This window comes from Homo sapiens, chromosome 1 (assembly GCF_000001405.40).
Source record: "Homo sapiens chromosome 1, GRCh38.p14 Primary Assembly".
In the NCBI taxonomy this organism is placed as follows: domain Eukaryota; kingdom Metazoa; phylum Chordata; class Mammalia; order Primates; family Hominidae; genus Homo; species Homo sapiens.
The window spans coordinates 120392831-120413085 of NC_000001.11; the positions used below are offsets into that span (position 1 = coordinate 120392831).

At 43.7% G+C, this 20255-nt stretch overlaps 1 long non-coding RNA gene across 1 annotated transcript, besides 2 other annotated features; it reads left to right on the forward strand.

Moving 5' to 3' along the window:
* Nucleotides 1-714: 714 nt before the first annotated feature.
* On the forward strand, nt 715-18526 carry LOC101929788 (uncharacterized). Its single transcript, XR_254376.2, has 6 exons — nt 715-804; nt 3489-3649; nt 4472-4528; nt 12029-12265; nt 14227-14440; nt 18007-18526. It is a non-coding gene; the product is annotated as an uncharacterized LOC101929788 (long non-coding RNA).
* Nucleotides 11232-11732: an enhancer, noted in NCBI's record as "H3K4me1 hESC enhancer chr1:144582720-144583220 (GRCh37/hg19 assembly coordinates)". NCBI's record gives its function as "activates a minimal SCP1, AML or CMV promoter by ChIP-STARR-seq in primed H9 embryonic stem cells {active_cell/tissue: H9 hESC(primed)}" and the evidence as "EXISTENCE:reporter gene assay evidence [ECO:0000049][PMID:30033119]".
* Nucleotides 11733-12234: an enhancer, noted in NCBI's record as "H3K27ac-H3K4me1 hESC enhancer chr1:144583221-144583722 (GRCh37/hg19 assembly coordinates)". NCBI's record gives its function as "activates a minimal SCP1, AML or CMV promoter by ChIP-STARR-seq in primed H9 embryonic stem cells {active_cell/tissue: H9 hESC(primed)}" and the evidence as "EXISTENCE:reporter gene assay evidence [ECO:0000049][PMID:30033119]".
* Nucleotides 18527-20255: the final 1729 nt, after the last annotated feature.

The window sequence follows — 20255 nt, forward strand, 5'->3', positions numbered from 1 at the left end:
TGGTGTGCTGCACCCATTAACTCATCATTTAGCGTTAGGTATATCTCCTAATGCTATCCCTCCCCCCTCCTAGAAAAACAATTCTAGTGATTCTTGTTCACAAACGGGGAAAGTGGAAGTAACAAAGAAGTCACTGATCCAAAACCTTTTTGAAATGGGGCTGAGCAGAGTCCAGCAGGAATTGCGTGGTTAGGATCCACAACCTGGAACTAACCTTCTGTGACATGGGGCTTTGCCTCTGGAGTCTGCATTTCTTTCTATCTTTATGGCAATCATTTTATTTTCCTTCCTCTCCTACTCCCTTGGTTCTTCCCCTTTCTCCTTATGGCAGCATCCTCCCCTTAATCCTTGGCACATCATCCCCAGCAGAATTGGTCAAATGTTGCCCACGTCACGGTCCTGACCATCTCCATGAGGGGTTGTCCTTGTGACCCCCTGCTCCCCTGGGACCCTCTTCACTGACCTGACCTCTCTGTCATGATTGCTTTCAGCTGACCTGGCTGGTTTAGGAGAAAACCTAGAATTGTGGAGACCCAGAACCAATCTCTGCCCTCTCTTATCTCCAAGAGAGGAAGAAAATAATAGGTATCACCATGGAGAAATGACCCACATGAGGGCTGAGACTCTCCAGCAGTTAGAGCAGAGGAAACTCCCTGAAGAAGGGAGGAGCTGAGATCCCAGGCTGGGAGAGCAGGCTTGTGTTAAGCATTACTTAATCTTTATGTGCTCCCTGCCTGAATCTACCAGCCAGCGAATGACAACTGACTGAGTAGAAATACTAGGACTACAGAACCGTGATAAAAGGTTTGTCCAAGGAAAAGCCCTTTTACTTTATTTGTTTTCACAGTGGAAATTGCTGTTTTTGATCCAAAGTTTTCTGAAACGCAGCAGTGAGTTCCTGGTGGGTGAGTTAGGTGCTTTGGACCTGGAGGCTGAGGCCAAGGCTTGTGTGGTCGATCTGCTGCCACCATGTGGTGAGGGAGCCTGGGAGAGTCTTAGTCTTTCTTGGCTTCACTTTCCTCCTCAGTGAGGTAGGGGCTTATTGTTCCTCTCTGAGGTCCCTTCCTACTGTGTTTTCTCTGAGTCTCTGAGGAACTGAGAAGGTTTTTATTTATTTATTTTTTTCCTTCCCTTTCCCTCCTTCTTTCCTGTGCCCAGTTGCCAATCAAGCCACCCACCTTTCCATTTGCGGGGGAAGGGGGCGATACCCAACCCCCTCTATTACTAGGGGGTTGTTATGGTAACTCCCCACGCGAGGGCTGGGTGGCCTCTAGATAGGACGGGCTGTCCACCCACCCAATTACTATGGCAACAGTGGAGCCGCTGAGGGAGGGGCCACTCCGTGAGAACTTGGCTGGAGAAACCACGTGGGAGTTGGGGGGCAGAGGAGGGGCACCGGCTGCCTCAGGAATGCCCTTTCCACCCTCACCTAGCAGGTTGGGGAAGCATCGAGGTGCTCTCAGATCTCAGGATAAGGAATCCTACCACAGACGTGTATCTCTGCACCTCTTTTAACGAAGTGTTCTGCACAAAGGAACTGTTTCCACAATTATTCATTGATCACTGGAGTCGCGCGTGGAGGAAGGGGTGGCGAAGGGGAAGAGAGGGAATCTGCGTTCAGTCCCTTAAAATATTGCTTGGGTTGCCTTAGATCTAGTCATGTTGGCATAGCGCCTACAGCCATTAGCCTCAGTGGAGGCTGGGTAATGCTATCTAAGAACCACGAGTCATGTTCTACCACTGAAATGCTGTGTGACCTTGAGCAAGTTGCTTTGCTTCTCTGAGGTTTTCTTTCACTGTGAAATTGAGGGGGGAGGCTGTATGATCCTCAAGAGCTCTTCTAGCACCAACACTGCCTCTGAAAGACTCCACCACCAGCCTTAATATAAACATCATTTAAGAGAGTTTAATTTAGAAGTCCTTGAAAAATAGCTGAACACATTCCTTTCTGGACCCTTTTTAGCATTTGGGTGCACAGCCAGTCGGCCCCCTTCCCTAACCCCTAGCCCATTTTCCTTGCCACTGCCCTTATTCAAGCCGCTATCCCCATTCATCTCCTATTTGGCCTTCCGGCCTGACTCCTTCAAGTCAATTTTTTTTTTTTTTTTTTTTTTTTTTTTTTTTTTTTTTGTTTTGAGACAGAGTCTCACTCCGTCGCCCAGGCTGGAGTGCAGTGGCGCGATCTTAGCTCACTGCAAGCTCCGCTTTCCGGGTTCACGCCATTCTCTTGCCTCAGCCTCCCGAGCAGCTGGGACTACAGGCGCCCGCCACCTCGCCCGGCTAATTTTTTGTATTTTTAGTGGAGACGGGGTTTCACCATGTTAGCCAGGATGGTCTCGATCTCATGACCTCGTGATCCGCCCGCCTCGGCCTCCCAAAGTGCTGGGATTACAGGCGTCAGCCACTGTGCCCAGCCTCTATTTTTTTTTTTAAAGACAAAGTCTTGCTCTGTCACCCAGGCTGGAGTACAATGGTATGATCTCTGCTCACTGCAACCTCAAGCTTCCGGGCCCAAGCTATCCTCCAGCCTCAGCCTCCCAAGTAGCCAGGACCACAGGCAGTGCATGCCACCACGCCTGGCTGATTCTTATATGTTTTGTAGAGATGGGGCTTTGCCATGTCGCCCAATCTGGTCTCAAACCCCTGGCCCCAAGTGATCTGCCCGCCTCGGCCTCCCAAAATGGGGAGATTACAGGATCCCTTGAGGACAGGAGTTGGAGGCCAGCCTGGCCAACATGGTGGGGTTTTTTTTTTTTTTTTTTTTTGAGACAGTTTTAGTTTAGTTTAGTTTTTTTGTGAATTTGTGAATTTGTTTTTATTGGGGAACAGGACACAGGGTGGAAAATGTCATCTTGGTGGAGACAGAGTTTTGTTCTCGTTGCCCAGGCTGGAGTGCAGTGGCACAATCCCGGCCCACCGCAACCTCCGCCTCCCGGGTTCAAGCAACTCTCCTATCTCAACCTCCCGAGTAGCTGGGACTACAGGCGCACGCCACCACGCCCAGCCAATCCTTTGCATTTTCAGTTGAGATGGGGTCTCACCATGTTGGCCAGGCTGGTCTTGAACTCCCCATCTCAGGCGATCCACCTGCATCAGCCTCCCAAAGTGCAGGGATCACAGACGTGAACCACCACAACCGGCCAAGCCTGACAGACATGGTGAAACTCTGCTGAGATGGTTTTTAATGCCACCCAGGACCTGCAGCTGAGACCTGACTCTGTGTGTCTCCTGCAGGAGCCTGAGCTGAGTCCACACACTGGAAGCCCAGAACTGAGGGAACAGATAAAAGAAAGAAAGTCAGCAGGTTTAGGGGATGAGAACAACTCACAAAGGACAAGCCATTGGTAAATGAAAACCAAAGAAGGGGGGAATAAGGACAAGTTGGGATAGAAGCCTCAGGGGAAATGGGCAATGCCTGTCATCATCCAAACTCTCAAGGAGCAGTGCGAGCTGAGCAGTGGGGACTGAGAGAGAAATTTACTCCACAGGAGTCTCCTGCCCCTGGCCAGGGAGAGCCACAGGCTGGATGACATCTGGTTTATAGTGAGGGGCAGCAGCAACTCCAAGAGGGGGAAGATGTGACCATGAGCCCCGCCCCAGACCCAGGAGGCTTGACCTTGGGGCTGCCGTAGCAGTGGATGCTCTTCAGGTCAGTGTGGGTTAGAGGGAATAACCATGCTGGGAGAAGGGTTGGAGACATCCATTCTTATGTTAAAAAGCTCTGCCCTAGGTCAGGTGCTAGAGTAAGTGTCCCTTGCTAGTATACAAAGCAGTGATACTTATAATATTCTTCTGTACTTACAGTTGAAGGAGGTTTCCAAATGATAGCTCATAAATATTTATTGGTGTTTAATTTTCTTTACGCTGTGTTAAACACTTGGGATTCAGATATTAATGTCTCCCCAAAGGAACTCAAGCCCATGAGAGAAAGAACAGAAATATAGCTTTTTAAGAAAATATGAAAGTTCCCCCACATTGGGGTGCTGTGGCAACCCATAGAGTGGGAGTTTAGGTGAAGACATTGCTCCTAATGACAGGGGGAACCATAAGAGGACTTCTTCAGAACAGACTCATTTTCCTCCAATGTCCCACAGAGAGGGATCCTGGGGCATGAATGGTGTAAGGCAAGGGCCAGTCTAAGGAAAGGGATTTGCTGCATCCTGGGAGAAATCTCAGCATCCCTGACAGGATATTTGGGACAGGAATGCAGGTGAGAGGAGGTTTGCAATCGCTTTTATTCAATAATTGATGAACACTCTCCTGAGAACTCCCTCAGTGCTAGACCCTGAGCTGGGAACCATGAACACAGAGATTAGCAAGATATGATCTCAGCTTTGACAGAACTCTCAGTCTAGTGACCAGCGATTCCTGAGAAGTATGGTGATGGTGGGTTCACTGGAACCAGTGGCCCATGCTGCATGGAGATGACCTCAGTGGATGGCCTGGTCTCTCTTCTGTTTTTTTCAAATAGCTGAATGACCTATCCTGGGCCCGTGACCCTGGACTTCAGCCAGATCAGCATCTCAAGGTACAACCAACATCTTGGCTCCATGATGGGTCAAAACAGTTAACACAGCCAAGGTATTCAAGGTATCAGTAGCTACTGACTATGTCCTGGCCAGCTGTGAAAAGAAAGGGGTGAATTTAACAAGTATTCTAAAATTGTCCTTGACATAGTAATCACAGATTATCTATCTTCTGTCTGGTAATATATATATATATATGTTTTTGTTGTTGTTGTTGTTGTTTTGTTTTTTTGTGATGGAGTTTCGCTCTTTTTACCCAGGCTGGAGTTCAATGGCATGATCTCGGCTCACTGCAACCTCTGCCTCCGGGTTCAAGCGATTCTCCTGCCTCAGCCTCCTGAGTAGCTGGGATTACAGGTGTGCACCACCACGCCCGGCTAATTTCCTATATTTTTAGTAGAGATGGGTTTTCACCATGTCGGCCAGGCTGGTTTTGAACTCCTGACTTCAGGTGATCCACCCACCTCGGCCTCCCAAAGTGCTGGGATTACAGGCATGAGCCACCACTCCCAGCCTCTGTCTGGTAATTTAAATGCTTTGGAGACTCCAAGATTCACCCATGTCCAAAATAAATTCTATATCAGTCATAGTACTAGCATTTAGAAGTTGTGTGTTTTATCCTCTAATTATAGATGAAATACCTAAGGTGGAAAGGAGTAAAGCAGCTTCCATGAATGTAGTGAGAATGTAGGGGGGTTAGGGACTAAAGTCCTGCCTTAGGATTCCCCAGCAGTTGCCAGTCACAATTTTTGTACTCTTAGAAACAACAACAACAACAAAAAAATGACAACCTGTTTTGTTCCTCTGCTTACCCTATCCAATTCTCTACACCATAACATCTCTGCTTATCAAGACAACTTGGATTCTCAATTTGTTGAGCTCAACAAATGCATCTCTTGAGCCCCTGTGGGTAAAGCATTATGCTAGTTACGGCGGGTGATACAGAGGAAGCACAGAAGGGTCCTTAGTGACAAGAGCTTAAGATTTCTGCTCTCAGCTCAGCCTGAGTTGCCTGCAGGTGAGAAAATCAGTAGCCGACAACCACAGGTGCATTCTGGTGAAAGGGTCGATGATAATGAATAGTGGTTCTGACAGGGCTGGGCTCTTAACCTCCCAAAGATGCTGGTCAAACAGGATCTGGAGGATCTCTGCACATAGTGTCTGACTACTGACTGTCATAAGTGAATGTCACCAAGTCTTGGCCTGGATCCCCTCCCTTTGTTTCATTTCACAGATTACATGTTGACAGCAGGAAAATCAACAGAAAGACCATGAGGCTAGACTCCAAAAGACTTAGTAATGCTGCTGGGTGGGCCATGAATTTTTAAAAACACATGAAGGGCCTTCTCAGAAGTGAAGTTTTAGGAAATATAAAATGCATAGCTGGGATACATTATAGTGTACTGATAGAACAAATATTGGATATAGCAGCATCTAATAACTTCTGGAGGAAAAAAATATTTTTCACATTACTCCAATTATGGCCTTATATGACAAAAAAGAAAAAAAAATCCCTAAGAGAACCACTAACATCCACTGGTTTTGTAGAAACAGGATACCCTTAGTGCACTTAAAGTTGGAAAAATGGCTCTGCCTTTAGGGCCATGCAATGAAACAGACTGTGTGGTAGTTGACACAGGAAGAGCAGAGCAGAGTTTATAACAATGGCCACAAGACAGTTAAGAAAATGCTTTGGGGCTTTTAAGCAGCAGATAAGGTGACTCAGAGGAATGTTAGACAATCGCAGAAAAGCAACTTCAGCAAAGTTTTTGATTCAGTAGGCACTGCATACTTAGTCCATGCTCTGCATCTTTCTTTCACAGTCTGTCCCTTCATCGACTTGGGCCTACAATGACTTTTCTGGGAGGGGAGAGGGATCAACACAACAGCATGCACACACCTGAAATAAAGAATGAATTTCTGATTTTCAGATTTTAGTCTCTGACATAACCAAAGAAGTGACTACCATAGATGTTAACTTTTTTTTTTTATTATTATACTTTAAGTTTTAGGGTACATGTGCACAACGTGCAGGTTTGTTACATATGTATACCTGTGCCATGTTGGTGTGCTGCACCCATTAACTCATCATTTAACATTAGGTATATTTCCTAATGCTATCCCTCCGCCACCCCCCCAGATGTTAACTATTAATAACATAAATGATGCTCACAAATATGCAGATCTTATAATAACGAGGTAAAATAGCTTAAAAAATAGATGGTAGAACTGTAGTCCAGGGACACTAATAGAAGTGACCCATAACATTACATCATCTCCACTTCTAACAAAAATCAGGCAAAAGAAGGAAGGAGACTGGCAACCCAATGCACAGAACTATATATAACAGGCATACTAGTTATTGGTTGGTTATAAACCAGTGGGAATAAATCTTTTTTATATACTGACTCTTGGTTTATGTCACTGAGGCACAGCATGGAACAATAGAAAACCGGACTGTAAGATAAATTCATTTGAGTAACTGGACTTTTGTAAACCATTAGAGAGACGTTTGAGAAACCAAATTTAAAGCTGTTCATGAGCCATGTTAGCCTATCAAGGTTGAAATTCAGGAGAGATACATAACGAAAAATAAATGCTTTTTTTTTTTTTGTGACACTGTGATCTGATGCATTGGGAATGTGATCTTGTGAATCACTCAGGTGAGCAAGCCTGACATGAGTGGGCATAAAGGTCAGTAACTGAAGAGGTACCAAAATGTGCTACATGTGTCAATTGTGACCTAAAGAACTGAAGGCATTCACCCTCCCTTGAAGTAATGAAGCTGACACAGCAGGGGGCTGCAAATTCCACTGCAGATCAGGGTCTTGAAGCTGACATACTGAAGAGTGGACTCCCACTTGAGATACAGAGTAGGAACTACTGTTTCCTACGGCTACTGAATATCCCACAAACTAACCTCCTCAGCATGCCATTATTAATTATTTTAAAGCTCTTAAAGGTCTCATTTTATAATAGATCACATCAGAAGGAAGACTAATAAGGATCAGGTACAAACTCATACTTGCTGGACATATCATTGCATATCATCCCAAAGTTTTTGGCACTACATAATGTTGGAATAGATTCTTGAATATTAAATTTTAAACTAAGGGAGAACATTGGCTTCTAAATTTTACAACTATAGTATTGCAGCTAAACACAAGTGCAGATGGGCAGCCTTATAACTGCATGAGTAATCTTAAGGAAAACTTATTGGTGAACATACAGAACATTTCACATGCATTTGTCTACAAAGGACAAACTCTTCCCAACCTCAGAACTTGATATGCGTTAGGACATTCCTCTCCTTTGGGCTGGTGATAAAGCTCCAATTGAAATGAGAAAGATTCTTCATGCCTGGTAAATACGCAAGTTTCCAAAGATATTGCCACTGGCCGATCAAACCTGAATCCAAAAAGCATTTGTTTCTAGCAGGATATAAGATCAATATGCAAAAATAAATTGTGTTTATGCAATTGCACGGCAGAATTTAAATGTAAAAGGAATACCATTTACAATAATGTCAAGTGTATAAAATCCATAAATGTGAATATGACTGAAAATTAGAGCACATTTCACGGAGAACATAGTGCAGGCCTAATAACTGGAAAGATATTGTTTGCTCATGTGTAAGAATATTGTTGAGATGTTCATTTCCCCTAATTTGATCTATGAATTCAATGCAATCCGACTCAAAATTTCAGCATGCATCGTTGGTAGAAAATGGCAGCTGATTCTAAAATTAACATGAACTAGCATAACCAAAATGCCTGTATAACGAAGTGCAAAATTGGAGGGCTAGCTCCACCTGATTTAAAGAACAATCACAGAGTTGTAATGGCCACAACAGAGCTTTGGTATGTGATCAATTAAATGGATCAAAAGAAAATAGAGTCCAAATATAAATGAACACATATATTGAGAACAGATTTTTGACAATCTTGAAAAAGCAATGTATTTAAAAATGCATAATATTTCAACAAACGATTGAAGATTTTCTTTTTAAGCAATGGATGTGACATATTTGTAACCATATAAAAATAAACAAGTAGAAAAAACTGAATTCATGTGTCATATCACATATTAAAATTAGTGGTTACAAGAGGATGGGAAGGAGATAGGGGAGAAGGAAGAAAAGATATTGGTTAATGCATATAAAATATAGTTAAATAGAAGGAATAAGTTCTAGTATTTGATAGTATATTAGGGAGACTATAACTCAAAATAACTTCTTGTATATTTTAAAATAACTAGAAGAGAGGAATTGGGATATTCCTAACATAAAGAAAAGATAAAGTTTTGAGGTGACAGATATACTACTTACACTGATTCGATCATTATAAATTGTGTATGTTTATCAAAATATCATGTGTATCCCCAAAATGTGTGCAACAATTATACATCAATTAAAATAATGAAGAGTACATCTTAGACAAATTAACAATGATTCCAATCCCATCGAGTATCTTTTCTGACCACAACGGTATGAAACTAAAAATTAACTACATAAGGAAAACTGGAAAATTAAAAAATACATGGAAATTAAACAACTTGCCTTTGAACAACTGATTGATCAAAGAACAAATCAAAAGGGAAATTTGAAAATATATTGAGGCCAACAAAAGTGAAAACAAACATAACAAAATCTTTGGAAACAGCAAAAACAGCTCTTAAGAGTCAAGTTTATAACCATAAATGCATACATTAAAAAATTAGAAAGACTTCGGCCGGGCGCGGTGGCTCACGCCTGTAATCCCAGCACTTTGGGAGGCCGAGGCGGGCGGATCACGAGGTCAGGAGATCGAGACCATCCTGGCTAACACGGTGAAAGCCGGGCGAGGTGGCGGGCGCCTGTAGTCCCAGCTACTCGGGAGGCTGAGGCAGGAGAATGGCGTGAACCCCAGGGGGCGGAGCCTGCAGTGAGCCGAGATTGCGCCACTGCACTCCAGCCTGGGCGACAGCGAGACTCCGTCTCAAAAAAAAAAAAAAAAAAAAAAAAAAAAAAAAAAAAAAATTAGAAAGACTTCAAATAAACATTACACCTCAAGAAACCAGGAAAAAAACAACAAAATAAATCCAAAGTTCACTGAAAAAAGGAAACAAAAATCAATGCAGAAGTAAATCAACTGAAGAACAGAAATACTACAGAAAAATAATAAAAGTGAGTTGTTGGTTTTTTGTTTTGTTTTGTTTTGTTTTTTTCCTTTTCCTTTCTCTTTCTTTTTCTCTTTTTAGGAGAGACAACGTCTTACTATTCTTTCCAGGCTGATTGGGAACTACTGGCCTCCAGTGGTGATGCAACGTAGGCCTCTCGCACCCGAGTTGTTTTTCTGGAAAAAGTAAAATTAACAAACACTTGGCTAAACTAACTAAGAAAAAAATAGAGAAGACTCAAATAAATAACATCCGAAATGAAAGTGGAGGCATTACAACAGAAGCCTCACAAGTAAAAAGTATCATAAGAAACTATTATTAGGCCGGGCGCAGTGGCTCCTACGTCTGCAATCCCAGCACTTTGGGAGGCCAAGGCGGGCGGATCACGAGGTCACGAGATCGAGACCATCCTGGCTAACACGGTGAAACCCCGTCTCTACTAAAAATACAAAAAAATTAGCCGGGCGTGGTGGCGGGTGCCTGCTACCCAGCTAGCTACCCAGTAGCGTGTAGTCCCAGCTACTCGAGAGGCTGAGGCAGGAGAATGACATGAACCCGGGAGGCGGAGCTTGCAGTGAGCCGAGATCGTGCCACTGCACTCCAGCCTGGGCGACAGAGCGAGACTCCGTCTCAAAAAAAAAAAAAAAAAGAAAAAAGAAACTGTTATTAACAGCTCTATACCAACAAATTGGATAACCTAGAGTAAATGGATAAATTCTTAGAAACACACAACCTACCAGGATTGAATCAAGAAGAAACCGAAAGCCTGAACGACCAATAACAAATAAAAGGACTGAAGAACCTCCCAACAAAGAGAAGCCCAGGACCAAATGACCTCACAGCTCAACTCTTCCAAACATTCAAAAAAGAACCGGGCGCGGTGGCTCACGCTTGTAATCCCAGCACTTCGGGAGTCCAAGGTGGGCAGATTACCTGAGGTCAGGAGTTGGAGACCACCCTGATCAACATAGTAAAACCCTGTCTCTACTAAAAAAATACAAAAATTAACCGGGGGTGGCGGTGCCTCCGTGTAATCCCAGCTACTTGGGAGGCTGAGGCAGGAGAATCGCGTTGCAGTGAGCCGAGATGGCGCCACTGCACTCCAGCCTGGGAGACGGAGCGAGAGTCTGTCTCAGGGAAAAAAAAAAAAAAAGAAAGAAAAAAAAGAAAACGAAAACCACTGCAAATCATAATGCATTTTGTCCACTTTCTGAGAATGTGATTTCCTCTTCCTGTGGAAACAGCAATAATTTTTATGAGGGGGTGCTGCCCGGACCCCACTGGAGGAGTGGGTAAGATGAGGATTGTGCTCGGTGTTGCCTCCCTACAGAACCACACATACTGATCTGTAATACCTGTGGCCCCTAAGTGTCCGTGAAGGGACTGGTCCCTTTACAACATTGCGTATGGCTGCGGAAACCCACTATGTGGCAACAAGATGTATATGTGTGGGTTGGTGGTAAAACCATTATAGGCAACGGAAATTCAAAATGTTCCAGAACTCTTAAAAGTTCGCCTCATGTAGTATTTGGTTTCTTGCAGGGGGACCCAAGCCCCCGGGGCTGTGGTCAGCTACCTGTCCTGGGCCTGTTAGGCACCAGGCCGCACAGCAGGATATGAGTGGCCCGCAAGCGAGCATTCCAGCCTGAGCCCCGCCTCCTGTCAGATCAGCGGTGGCATTAGATTCTCATAGAAGCACAAACCCTATTGTGAACTGTGCATGAACGGGATCTAGGTTGCGCGCTCCCTACGAGAATCTAATTAATGCCTGATGATCTGAGGTGGAACAGTTTCATTCCGAAATGATCCTTCCCTCTTTTCACGTCCCCCACCCCTGGTCCAAGGAAAAATTGTCTTCCACGAAACCAGTCCCCGAGGCAAAAAAGTTTGGAGACTGCTGGTCTACAGTGTCCCAAAACCCTTTTCTATGGTTCCTTCCCAAAGCCTGGAGGCTCAAAGTCCTCCCCTGTTCTTATACTCCTGTGTGTGGAGAAAAATAGCATTTCCTATGCTCTGAAGGTTCTCCAGAACATTCTTTCTAGGCAGCAGGATGGAGATTAATAATAACAGAATATTTGGCATGGCCTTGTTAGCCAATCCAAAGCCCTCTGGGCTGAAGTGGGGGTTTTTCACTTCAGGGTCATCCAGCCTGGGTACCTTCCATCTCAGCATCCCCAGGCACAGACAGGAAGGTGACATCACCCCATTTACATGATGTCTGTCTTTGTGGCCTGGGCCACTGGGTGGCTTACCTCAGAGGCGGAGATGTCAGAGATGGGTGTTCTGGGCATGATTAACAAAGGGAAAACTGAGAGCGTTCCTACTGAAGCCCCTTCTCCTTTCAGCTCCCACCCAGGTGGCCTGTCCTCACGGGCCTTGGAGTGGAGACTTGAGCCACCACCTGTCAGAGGTGGAGACTTCACAGGCACAGCTGGAGCCAAGAACCCTGGTGCCCAATTGTCTGTGACTGCAACTGGATCAAGGGTTTGACTGTGGCTATGGCTTAGCCAGGCGGGATGTTTCCTCCACCACCTGCAGCTTCACAACCAACGGTGATCCTGGGAACCAATGGCCCTTCCAAGGTAGGGAAGGAAAGGGGACCAGGAAGCTCTCATCCGGGTGTCCTGGTCATGGTGCTGTGAGGGGAGGAGGCAATGGGGTCTCTTCGTGCTCCCTCAGAGTCAAGCAGAAATCCACAATGTTCCAACCCAGTGAGGTGAGCAAGAGCCTGGGGTTTAGGATCAAATCTGCTCTCAGGTCCTGGGCTTAACCCTTACTCATTATTCATCTCGGCCAAGTTATTTGTGGTGTTGGCATTTACATCTCAGTCCTGTCATCTGAGAGACCTGAAAAATAATATCTACATTCCATCATTGTTGATAACATTAATTATGATAATTTCCAAAGGGCTAATTCAGTAAAAATTGCTTAATAAATCTATGAATAGATGTTATCTAATTCTGTTATCTTTCTGGTAAGTTAGCACTCAGGAAATGACTTCACGTGCATTGTTTCAACTGAGGAAGAGTAACTGTTAGGATCTCTACTTTCTAGAGACTCCCTTCCTGTGTTTACTTAGAAAGTATCTTTTGCCAGTTTTCTTTCTCTTCCTCAGCATCCCTTTTTAAGTCAATTTCCCCCTGTCATGCACTTCAGTAACAACCTATTAGGCACATTAGTAAAAGTGCAAATCCTGGGCCCACAAGTCAGTCTCCTGACATACCCAGCTTCTTGCTCTGTTTTCTCCCCTCGTTTTGAAATAAAAGAATGAAAGGGCAACCTTCTCATGGAAAGGGTATAAATCTGTCTCTTTTATGAAACTCCATTTAGTTCATCATCTCCATTCATGCCCACGGCCATGTCCTCAGTTTTCTTCTCACAGGGATCCACTTCTGCCCAGATTTCCTTAAAACCCTGGGTTGTGTTCATCCTTACTCTCCGTCCCACTCAATATCTACTCCTGGAGCCCCTGGGGCTGCCTGGTGCTCATCTGTCAATCGATGACCCCAGCCGAGGAATAAGGAGACCCACGTCCTCAGGAGGAGGGAGGGTCACGTGAGATAACGAGCACCATCTGGGTCCATGGAGAGGACACATGGAAAACGCTCAGTGAGTGTCGGGGGATGCGTAGTCCCTGACACGTGCCCTGATAACTTTGAGTATTTAAACTGATTTCTTCCCACTGGTGTCTCTTTTGCTTCTCCATGGATTCCTGCACCCCTAGTCAGGACTCACCCCGCTGGCTCCAACACTCTTACCTGCTGGCTTTCCCAGGAGTCCGGATCACTAACCAGGTTCCAGGCAAGAGGACAGAGTGAATGCCTTTTGTTTCATTGTCCTTTACCTGGTGACTTCTCCTTGCTGTCTAATAGGGCATTTGTTTCTCACCATGTCTTCTCTCTCTCGTTCATCTTATTTTTCTAAAATTTTTTCCAGTTTCAGTGGACCAGATTATAATGTTAGTGATTATAACGCTAATTCAACATCTTCCACATCCTTATGTAATAATTTCTTCCAATAGATTTATATATATAAATATATGCATTTATGTCATTGGATATATATATTATGCATATTTGGCATGTATTTTTAATAAAATGTAGATATATGCTATATACATATCTGCATGCTCATTTCATCAATATCTCATGTTTAGTCTATCCAATTCTTTTCTCTCATATGTTCATTTAATGTTGAGTTTTAGAATCTCCTCCCTCCCAAAACACAGCCTGTATCCAGTCTGACTTCCTTGCCTTTGCCTTATCTACCTGGAAACTATTTGTGTTTATTAATCCTAAATTTTTTGAATATGTTTGTCAGTTGGGATCACCTTTTCCTCCTGGCAATCTTGTCATTACTGGGTGATGCATGAAAAATCAACAATACAGAAAATACCAAAATGTCTTTCCTGGCTTCCCTTTACCCGTTGGACTTTCTTATTCAAGGCCGCTTTCCTTCTCTGATGATCCTCTTGGGTGGAAGAGAAAGTCACAGTAAGATCATGGATGACAGTGAACACTGTTGGGTGTGGTTTCATTTTCAGAGCTGGGTTTAGAGCCTTCCCTTGAATGAAGAACCCTCCCCAGCTGGAAGGTGATGCTATTGAAGGCTCAGCTGACAACATACATGGGCATCAAGTCATTGGCCACATTCATGCCTCAAGTGTCCTAAAACCGAAGATGATCAAAAGAAAACTGCTGTTCAGCAAGTGGAGACTGGCATGCAGATTCCCTGGCCTGCAAGCTTAGAGCAGGAAGGTAATCACATCTATGGCTCTTAGCTGCACTCACTCCTTATTCCTCTCTGTCTATGATGACAGCTCCTTCTCCCACTGCTTTTTTCTTCTGTATTTGTTCTCTCCAGCAGCTGCTGTCACCTCTGTCTGGTATTACCTCTGTGTCCCATGGGCTGCCATGCTGCCAGGTCCTTCTGATCCCCATCCCCTGTTTGCTCTCTGAACTCTGCTCTGTTCCCACTGCTGTTGTCCTAAGAGTCCCTCTCATGGCCGCAGGAGAGCCCAACTTCCTTGTCCCCCTCCAAGTGCATGGTGTGAGCTGCTAAACACAGGGTTCTTTGCCTGGAATTGCACAGCTTGAGTAATTTGCCTTTCCTTTCTGCATCCCAAACTCCATTGCCCCTTTCTGCCAGGAGCATTGCTTTAATACATCATTTACACACAGATTTTTCTCTTGGGACAGCTTTTGAGCAACACAACTAAGTCAAACTGTAACCCTCACCTTGTACATGGGAATGAGAAGTGTTAAAACTGAGCACTAAGAACTCCAAATCAAAAACTAAATTAGAACCTGGGTCACAGATGAGAGTTCCCTACTAGCCTGGAGTCAGGTGTGTCTTCATCTCTAGATGGGCAACCTTATGCCAGCGTGGATGAAGTTTCCAGGGACTGTGTCTGCTCCTCATGGACTCACTTAGCTGACATTAACTGGAGAACATTTATGATATTCCAAAGGGACCTCATCCAAAGATAGATGCAGAGGGCAGGGCAGGACTTTGAACCTACATAGACCACAAAGTGCATTCTCACCTCTGTCCTTTTTATTCACATATTTACTTCTACAAGCTCAGTTAGAGTCTAAAACACAACTCAGGTGAATCTTGAGGACAGAGAAATAAGAGAGCATTTAATGAATTAACTTTGAGAAAAGTGAGTCCAGGGGCCAGCTTTATGTCTACACAAGATGATAGACAAGAACCTATCTACAGGACAGACTTTGCCTCAGACCAGCCCAAGTGAGAGATTTAATTGAAATAGTCAGAAGAAAGACTAAAATCCACAGAGCCACAGAGAATGAAGGCAATCACGAGAGAAATGAGGATAGGAAAGAAAATGATGGGAAATCAGGTTGGTTCATTCATTGTCTCTAAATCCTGCTACCATGTAATAAGCACCTGGTGAGATTTCAATAAAGATGAATGCCTTGAACTGACATCTTGAGATTCTCACTTAAATGGTCTGGGGTGTGATGTGAGCATCAGTACCTTTAAAAAACTTCCATGATATTCTAATATACAACTGAAGATGACAAGGACCACTGGTCTACTCTGACCTCAGGTTTTCAACATGGAGATGACCACTTGTGTGGCTACTCCACACAAAAGGCGGAATATCCATCAGACATTGATGGGATCTGTATTCACCTCTCAACAGTAGTATTTGTAGAACGTAGAAAAAAATTAAAAAGAAAAACAAGAAAATAGATGGATTAGACCTGTAGTCTCTCTACTTAAAGCACACTTGCTTAATTTTGAGTACAAGTAAAATAAGAAATAGTCATTATATTGAAACCCAGTATACAGAAAACAATACCTCGTATATTACACATATTCAGATTTAGTATTTTCTTTTAAATTTTATTTTATTGTATTTTATTTTTAAGACAGAGTCTCGCTCTGTCACCCAGGCTGGAATGCAGTGGCGCAGTCTCGGCTCACTGCAACCTCTGTCTTGCGGCTTCAACAATTCTCATGCCTCAGCCTTCTGGGTAGCTGGGATTACAGGTGCCTGCCACCACACTTGGCTAATTTTTGTATTTTTTAGTAGAGGCATGGTTTCACCATGTTGGCAAGGCTGGTCTCGAACTTCTGGCCTCAAGTGATCCATCCACCTCTGCCTCCCAAAGAGCTGGGATTTAGGCATGAGCCATCATGCCCAGCCTTCTTTTCAATTTTAAAATAAATCCTGCAGTTTACATTTCCACACACTGATTCCACAGCCCATTAATGGGTTCGGCACTGCAATGTAAAAATTCTGCTTTGCTCAATTCTTGTCATTCAGCCAAATCCTCAAAGAGAACTCGTAGGTCTCACTCCACTAGACAGAATATAATAATAAGTAAAAACTGAAACTTGGCCGGGCATGGTGGCTCATGCTTCTAATTCCAACACTTTGGGAGGCTGAGGAGGGTGGATCACCTGAGGTCAGGAGTTCGAGACCAGCCTGACCAACATGGCAAAACACTGTCTCTACTAAAAATACAAAAATTAGCCACGCATGATGGCACGTGCCTATAATCCCAGCTACTCGGGAGGCTGAGGCAGGAGAATCACTTGAACCCGGAAGGCGGAGGTTGCAGTGAGCTGAGATCACACCATTACACTCCAGCCTGGGTGACAGAGTGAGACTCCATCTCAAAAAAAAAAAAAAAAGAAAAGAAATAATAATAATAAAAAAACTGAAACTCAGGAAGAGATGATATATGAATACTTTTTTATGCTACCCTTGCTGCTGGCATGAAATTCTAAAAAGAAATCTTTCCCAACAAACCACTCTGGGAAAAATGTAACAGGGAGAGGAGAATGTAATAAAACACAAACTAATCCTTTTCACTTTCTACTTCAGAGTTTTGTTGATCAGATATTGAGCATGTTTCTAGAAATGCCTTAAGGTGTAACCAGGTGTGGAATCAACTTCAGGGAATTAGGGATAATAAGTCGGGCCATGGTTGCAATCACCACCCTTCCTTTGTAATTCCATTTGACTCTTTCCTTTTCTTCTGATCCTTTTTGGAAGAACACATAATATTTCTTTTGTCTTTTTCTCATTTTTTATTTTAACCAACAAAACAAGCAGCAGTGACATCATATTTCTTTGTAAAAGCTCATTCCTATCCTAGCCAAGGTGACCCAGCAACCTCTAGTGACTGTTGAGAACTCCAGATTGGAGAATTGACTCTCCCTTCTCTCTAACTTATTGAAAGAGACTTTGTGCGTGGGTTCTAGTTTCAGGGTTGTCCATTGCAAGTCATGTGGCTTTAGTTAAGTCAGCCCTGTGGCATCACTGCTCCTCTGTTGTAAAAGGCAGAACTGGATGTGGATGCGGTCTGAGGTCCTTCCTGTATCTCACCTCCAGGGTTCTTCCCATGGCCCTGCGCACCCTTCCCTAAGAGACGGGGACATGGAGTTGTAAGGGAGTGGGTTTCTCTGCAAAAGGTCCTTTCCTTCTGCAGCCTTCTGTTTCTGAGCTTTCATGGTTGATGCTGAGAACATCCTCACTGAGGGGTGTGAAAAGCCATTACTCTGCTCCAGACACTGGGGATCAGGAGGAAAGGGGCTGCTCGTTGGGCAGAGCTAGGATCCCTATATCCTTCACCTCAAGCTGACTGGAAGTTCAGGGGTGTTTATTTTTCACTTGCGGATGGCACTTGCCTCTTCACTCAGCCTGAGGCTCACCCTTCAGCTCATCCTCCTAGCAGGAGCTCAGTTTGCCCCTGGGCTATCACCACTTAACAGTCCCTCTAGACTCAGCCATCAGCAGGACCTGACAAAGATGCCCATTTGATCTTTCCTTCTCTCTCTCCTACAGATACTAAATGCTGCTGGAACAATGAAAAGAAAGAACGGATGTCACAAAAAGCATTTTCATTTGATGAATAGAACTAAAAGAGCAAAGCAATTGAAAGCTCAACACAACACAGGAGGGATCCATGGCTGAGGATTGTATTTCAGAACCACTGACTGCTCTTGACAATTGTTAACCCACTAGGCTCCTTTGGTTAGAGAAGCCACAGTCCTTCAGCCTCCACTTGATACCAATACTTAGGAAGACCAAAGCCAGATGGACAAACAGCATTGAGAGGCTTTAGCCCTACTCCTCTCAGCTTCCATCCTGTAGAGAACAGGAGTCAGGAGCTGCTGGCAGGAGACAGCATGTCACTTGGGACTCTGCCAGTGCAGAATACGAACAATGCCATGTTCTTGCTAAAAATGCTTAGCTTGAGTTTCATAGGAGGTAATCACCAGATAGACAACTGCAGAATGTAGAATACTGAGCAGGACAATAACCTGTCTCCTTCAGACAGTCCATGTCACCACGAATCACACAATAAAAAGGAGAAAAGACATTTTGGGTTCAAAAAAACTAAAAAGATAATGTAGCTATATTTCTTTAGTTATTTTGAACCCAAAGTATCTCCTCATCTTTTTGTTGTTGTCATTGATGGTAGGGACATGGACTTGTTTGTAGAGGACAGGTCAGCTGTCTGGCTCAATGTCCTACAAGAGACAGGGGGGACATGGAAGTGTACAGCTATATTTGTGGATTAGTCTAGCTATCTGTTCAGTATTTAAGGTTGTTGTTGCATAGATATTTATGACTTGAAATTTTGCATAGATATTTATGACTTTTGTCAGGGGAGGGGTTGGTGGATTGGTCCTTTCATCATTTTATAACATCCCTTTCTCTCTCTGATTAGTTTCTTTGTTCTTTTTTCTATGGACATCTTTCTTTTAAGGCAGAACTGCTGGTCAGAGATTCCCTTAGCTTTTCTTAATCTGAAACTGTTTTGATCTACCCCTTAATTCCTGAAAGACTCAGCAAATAAATACAAGACATAAATAAGAACCAAATGGAAGTATTAGAAGTGAAAAATGCAACTAAAATAAAAAGTCCAGCAGATAGGCTCAGCAGCAGAATGGATGGTGTGGAGCAAACAAATCCATATACTGCAGATGAGAAAACAGAAATTACAGAATCCTAACAGGGAGATGGGGTTTTGCCATGTTGACTAGGCTGGTCTCGAACTGTTGACCTCAGGTGATCCACCCACCTTGGCCTCCCAAAGTTCTGGGATTACAGGCATGAGCCAAAGAGCCTGGCCTCCCTTCTTTATTTCTATCATGAATAGATGTTGAATTTGTCAAATGATTTTTCTTCATTGACTGATAAACATTTTTGTGGTCTGGTTTTGGAGTTGGGGTAATCATAGCTTTACAGAAATAGTCGAGAGGTGTTCCTTCATCTTCTATTTTCTGGAACAGATTGTACAGAATTGATGTTAATTCGGCTGGGCGCGGTGGCTCACGCCTGTAATCCCAGCACTTTGGGAGGCCAAGGCGGGCTGATCACGAAGTCAGGGGATCGAGACCATCCTGACTAACACGGTGAAAACCCGTCTCTACCAAAAATACAAAAAATCAGCCGGGCGTGGTGGTGGGCACCTGTAGTCCCAGTTACTCGGGAGGCTGAGGCAGGGGAATGGCGTGAACCCGGAGGGCGGAGCTTGCAGTGAGCCAAGGTTGCACCACTGCACTCCAGCCTGGGAGACAGAGCAAGACTCCGCCTCAAAAAAAAAAAAAAAAAAAGAATTGATGTTAATTTTTCTTCAACCGTTTGGTAGAATTCTCCAGTGAAACCATCTGGACCTGGAGCTTTTCTTTCTGGAAATTTTAAAATTAGGAATCCAATTATTTTCATAGTTACAGAGCTACTCAGATGACCTGTTTTGCTTTAGGTAAGTTGTGGTAGTTGATACTTACGACAAATTTGTCCAATTCATCTGGGTTGTCAAATATATGTGTGTACAGAATTTTAAATAGTTTTTCCCTTATTATTATCCCTTTGATATCTGCAGTCTGTAACGAGTGTAGTCCCTGTTTCATCCTGATGTTCATAAGCTGACTTCTTTTTTTCTTTGTCAAGTTTATTGATCTTTTCAAAGAGACAGCTTTATTTTCACTAGTTTCCCCTTTTGTTTTTTTCTGTTTTCAATGCCATTGATTTCTGCTATTATCTGTATTATTTCCTTCCATTTGCTTTAGGTTTTTTTTTTTTTT